Source organism: Homo sapiens, chromosome 1, assembly GCF_000001405.40.
Source record: "Homo sapiens chromosome 1, GRCh38.p14 Primary Assembly".
NCBI classification, from domain to species: Eukaryota; Metazoa; Chordata; class Mammalia; order Primates; family Hominidae; genus Homo; species Homo sapiens.
In genome coordinates, this window is record NC_000001.11 from 101992885 (window position 1) to 101998884 (window position 6000).

Consider the following 6000-nt stretch of genomic DNA (forward strand, 5'->3'; position numbering starts at 1 on the left):
TGGACAGAAACCACAGTTTGGTGATGGAGATTATTGCTGAATCATTGTTATATTTTATGTCTGTAGTGTGAGAAAGTATCATGAAGATAAGTTTAACATATTTCTACATAAGAAGACAGTAAATGTTTCCTCAAACTCAGCACGGTTCCCCTGATAGGGCATTTTCTGATATATTTATGAGACAAGTATGACTCATCTAAAGTTTAGCAGTCACAATGGTGTGCAGATATGGCCATGTCACCTCTTTTTAACTGTTCCCCAAATATGTAGCTGGCTCCAGTGTCAATGTTGTGTTTGAAACCTGCTCAGTCATATTTATATCCTCCTATCTTTATAGTTCAGAGCAGAGAAATTCATGGTTCTGATTCACAGGGATTACTGTTTTGTTACAATGTTCAAATAATGGTCCGCTAAAAATCTTCCTGCAACAGAAAGAAGTCCACTCTTCTACCATCAAGGTCATTACTGAAATCAATGCCTTCAGTTTAAAAGCACAGAGATGCCATCTAGCAGCCGCCCTCAGAAATTCCCTACACAGAAATAGTTCTTTCCCTATAAAATTGAGCAATAATTGAATTCCTACAGGCTTTCGGTGTTTGAAATTTTGCTTACAGAATGATGATTTGGCATGTCGTCTATAATTCAAACACTCCATTACAAATGAAATTAATTGACATCTCTTAAAATAGGCAGTGATATACATCTGAGTTTTTCTAAAAAGAACTGGAAACTTACTAATTATACTTTAATTAATAGAAAGTATTTCAAACAAATTTCCTAAAAGAAAAATTGATCATCTGTCCCTATAAAAATACAAATAATTAATTAGTGTGGATTGCCTTCCTTTGTTGGAAAAGAATACCAATCTTGCCAATTTTTTGATACAGTAAATGAGAGAAAAGAAACTAAGTACATGCTGAAACTAAGCTCAGTCTATGAACAATGAATCTTGGCCATTTTTAAAAACCTGAAAACAATACTGACTTTCAAGTAACTTATCTTACCATAAGATGGCGATACTTAAGCACTTTATAAAATGCCATATAAGACCTGTAAGCTTCAGCGACAGAAAAAAAAAAAAAAGACACACACCGCATTATAAATGTAAACATTATATAGTCTTCCATGAAATAGAATTGGCACTGTTGTTAGAAAACCCAGTTGTCTTCAGGTAAACTAATATATAAGAAGTACTTTCTAAGATGTAGATTTCCAGTATTTGATATATGTAAAATCCTATACCTAAAAAAAATCTATTCAATTTTAAGAGCTTTCCCATTTTGCCAGTTTCTGTTTATCCATGTGAGGTATATATATTATATACATATATAAAATAAACAAAGTATAACAATATAGAATAATACTTAAAATTATTTGAAAATTTGATGATGACCCATATCACTCCAAATGTATTAGTATGCAAAAAGGCAGTTGGTTAGCATTTCTGTTCATTTAAGTGTTATCACAAATTATTTCTTATTTGTCCAAAAACTGTATTTTTTGTAGTACTATATTATTGGATTTTTAATTTTAATTTCACCATATATAATTTGCTTTATGAATCCTGACTTTTAAAATCTAAGCCCTTAAGTAACTAGTAGAATGAAAAATAAAATTTTACAAAATTCTTAGTTTATAACCTAATTGACAATTCTTTTGAGGACACAATGGTGCCATCTGTAATTTTTTGGGGGGGAGCAATATAAATATATATTATATAAATATAAATATATAATATTAATACAAAAGTAGCTTCTCTTCATTTTTTAAAGCAATGTTTTGTCTAAAAGTCCTAAAACTTTTTACAACATTAAAATTACTTGTTTTGAAAGTTTTAATATTCTCTGTAATGTCTATGATATAGAACAAATATCGTCTTTTAAAAAAATCATCTTTTGTTCTTTGCACACTGTATTGCAGTATGTGGAAGCTGAGAAGGACAGTTTGAAAAGTTAATGTATGCCTTCCCTGGATTTTTCAGCTCATTTGTAGCAAATATCCACAGCTCATTCTGAAGAAAGTAAAAAGTTTTGTAGCATTGAATACACACAAATAAACTCACCAAAACTAGAAAAGATTATATTGACCAAAGATGCATTGCTTATTTTAAAAATGTCTTCATATTTAACAGAAAATTATCTACATATTTAATTTTGGAAAGAAAGGGGTGCAAGCAGTGAAGATATTTATGCATCAAAGATAACAGACAAATCAAATCACACACAAAATTGTTAATGAAGCTCTACATTTCTGAATTTATTTTAAAGAAAAACAAATAAAACTCACTTTAAGTCAAGTGACTTTTTCTGCAGTAACTTAGTGATTAACTTTGCTTTTAGAAAATGTTTTACCAAGAATATTCCCAAATCATATGGAATGTATTCAAAAGTTTTAAACAATATCATATAAAAAGAGTGGCAGTGGATAGAATGTGTCACTACAGGGTGCAGAGTCAAGAAGAAAAAAAATTAAATATAAAAACAAAATCAACACTTTTTCCTAAGTGTAAAATGCTTTAAAGCTACACCTTAGTATATAAAATATGCCTTTAAGATTATTAAGATGACATTCACACAGAGTGAAGCGTTTACATCAATAATACCAGTACAATCAAAGCTTTAAAATAAAATGAATTTATTCTCATCAGGTCCTTCTAAATATGAAAGAGTACAGAAATAATTACAAATATATACGACATGATTCTAAGTTTTAACTGTATACTATATTAGGCCTACAAATATCACAACCACAGTATTAAATTATGCTTGGTTACATCTTAGTTCTATTCAGTAATGAAAGGAAACTTAATTTGTCTACACTACACACATGATGTAAAGCTTTAAAAATAACTTTATAATATTCCAAAATATAGCTTGTATTAGTTTTATAGCATGGAATCATTCTTCCTATATTGTCAAATTGCTGTTGGCCAGTTAAATAAGTAAAATAATAAATTGTATCTCTTACTCTTTTTCACCAGGTGGCTTATCTCTTATTCCCTGTCATTATGATTTTCTTAGAAGGCTGAAGCTTTCAAATTATCTCACTTTGTCATCAAGACTTTTCTCAGACATCGTTGAAAATATTTGTCCATATTTTCCTGTCTTTTTATCAAAGGAGTTTAGCGTTCACTTTCATTGCCAGTACTAGATAATTTTCAGAGTTCAACGTCTATGAGTTAACTCATCCTTCCTATTGCCCTCCTTAGTTTGTTAAGGTTCTCACTTCCTGTTTCTTAACACTGATAATCAGAACTTCCTCAGTGCCCCCTAATTTTCTTAATGAAAAGGAAGAAACAAACACAAGCTCCTTTCACCAACGCCTCTCAGCCATGGCAGAGAGTATAGCTCTGCTGCTCTGCCATGTGTTTTACAAGCAGCATCCCAAATGTTTTGGACACAAACCGCAGCACGTCTGCGATGGGAGTATTATTGACCAGGATCAGCTGGAAAACGCTTCCCTGCTTTCAACAAAGAAACGGTTCACCATGTCCTAATACATGTTTATAAATTGCATTGTTTCTACTGCAAACTCCTTTGCATTACCCGTCCGACTTCAAAAGAGAGCATTAAGCAGTTGGACACGGAATAAGCTAAATTCCCCGGAGAGCCGCATTGCCCGCTGCCCATGCACATTATATTTTCTCCTAGTCCCTCCCCCCGCGCAGTAGGACTCTACCTTGAGGAGCTATTCCTCCGGTAGTTCACCTTGTTATGTTCCAAGCAGTGGGGATACGCCAGACACCATAAGGTAGCTGAAAGAGCTGTCTCTCGTCCCGTTTTTGACATATTTATTTGCATTTCTGTTAGGTTTGTTACATATTGCACATTTATTTCAAACAAGACTCAAAATATTGTTCATACCTTGGAAGGATCTAATCCGGCAAACAAAGACAGCAGCAGGAGGTTGAGAAGGTTGGACGTCGCCTGCATTCTGATCTGGGTTTTTGCCCCTCTTTACTCTCTTTTATGTAGGCTCTCCACTCACTGCAGAGACCTTTCCCTCGTCAGTTGCACTTTCTGCCTGCCAGTCAGAGCCGAGTGGAAGCAGAGGCGGCGGCAGCAGCAGTAGCAATAACAGCAGCAGCGGCAGCGGCGGCAGCCGCCCTGGGGGGCGATCATTCCGCAGGCATTCTCAGAGCTAGGAGTCCGGGAGCTCTAGAGAGTGGGTTGGGCTGCAGTGGGCGCTGGCCGCGGTGCTGAAGCGCCTCCAACCCGCGCGCCCCAGTTTACCCTCTCCCCCGCTGCTATATAGCTAGCCCACCTCAAAAGTTTTGACCCAAGGAATAGATAAAGGGATTAACTGCTGAGAGAGGTGTGGAGACCTGGACAACGGATATGACATCACTACAGCTCCTGGGGGTTTCGGGGGGATATTTTGCGGGGAATTTGTTAACCAAACAAGGATTGACTCTCGTGCTCCAGTTCAGCATTTGCCGGCAACTTGAGCTGCAGAGAAGTAAAGAGTCAGCTAAATACAGGATTATGAAACAAATAGTGCACTAGAACCTTCTGCTGTCATTGACAGAGGACTTGATATTGTATTTAGTGCTTTAAACAAAGTTTGCAGTGCAGACTATCAGTGTGTGTCATCCAAGGCACACGATTTTCAGCTGTTATTGATAGATGAATGTGGTAATTTATAGATATGTGCAGTCATTTATGAATAGCTTATTAAAGTTATATGTTTTGGTTAGGTATTAATGTGTATCTATCTATCTAGGGATTTGGTCATCTAAAAACACTATGCATAAATAAATAAAGAGGCTTATATTCTTCTTTTAGTTATAAATGGTATATTCCATTAGTGATCCCCCCAGCTGAAATATCCCCCCCATATGCACAGCCATACCTGGAAATATAGTTTTTCTATCAGTCTGACTTGTGTTTTTACTTGAAGAAGAATTCACTGATAGATGGATAGCGGGATGGGAAGAGTGTTTATTTCTAAGCTTTCAAACACTTCTGTAATCTAGGGCTCAAGAAAAGGCAGAATAGCTGCCTCACAAGAGCAAAGAAAGGGTAAATGGCAAACTCTCTTACCCTGCATCATTCAACCTTACTGGAGCAATTTCATTTCTTTGAATATGGAAAAAGTGTTCTCAATAATATAAAAAGGAAGAAGTTGGTAGCCACCCTGAAACATCCCTCTCGTACAATTATGCCTGTAATATTTCCATCTTCTATTGATTTTTCTAGAAATTATAATTCCTAAGGGTTAAAATATATAGATAGACTGGGTCTGTGGACATTGCTTCCTTTTACTTCGACATTTAAAAGACAATGAATTGAGATATCAGACACATACCGAGTATGAAATCTCCATCAACCTTTCACTGAAAATATATCCTATTTTTTAATATAAGAAATCTCAATTAGGACTCAAATGCATTTGAAAGTTATTGTCCCCAAGAATTTACATCATATTGCATCTGTTTTAATCCTAATATTATAAATGTGTGTATAGTTACTTGAGGTCTTTATTTTCTATAAACATAAATGGCATGAAGTTCACTACATCTGATAATTCTTTTTGAAGGAGTGGATCATACAAAATAGAGATTGCAAAATCATAGAAAGAAAGTGAAATTACTTATAATGGTGTTAATTTAATAATCTTAACAGCCATAACCATATTTAGAAGTTTCCATTATTTTGAGGTAATAGATAAAACTATAGAGTTGTACCACTCTCTGGGGTAACTTCCTAGAACATATTTGTCAGAGTTTTTTTCTTTTTACATTTGCTTCTTAACCTAAACTTTTCTACCTATCAACATCTACATACTTATCTATCTATGTAGGATAAAATCAGCATAATTTTTAAAAAATCACACATAGAAATTGTTGAAAATTCTGCATCCATTTTTAAATATTTCACATGACTGTGCAGATTGAAAATGAATTTGCAGAGGTGTGTTGGCTGAATGATTATAATAATACATTTTTATTATCCATTCTCTAAATACATTTTTTGTTATTTGTATTTACACATGCTTTTC

The 6000-nt window shown here is 34.3% G+C and overlaps 1 protein-coding gene across 4 annotated transcripts in view; it reads right to left on the minus strand.

The window, feature by feature from the left end:
• The window catches only part of OLFM3 (olfactomedin 3), a 194367-nt gene extending 190325 nt beyond the window's left edge, over positions 1–4042 (minus strand). For all 4 annotated transcript variants that reach the window (NR_110211.2, NR_110210.2, NM_058170.4 and 1 more), the window contains exon 1: positions 3864–4042. Coding sequence is in view for 1 of the 4 variants with exons in the window: in NM_058170.4 (NP_477518.2) it covers positions 3864–3932 (69 nt within the window). In the remaining 3 variants the exon portion in view is untranslated. The remainder of the gene's footprint in view (positions 1–3863) is intronic.
• Between the last annotated feature and the right edge of the window lie 1958 nt (positions 4043–6000).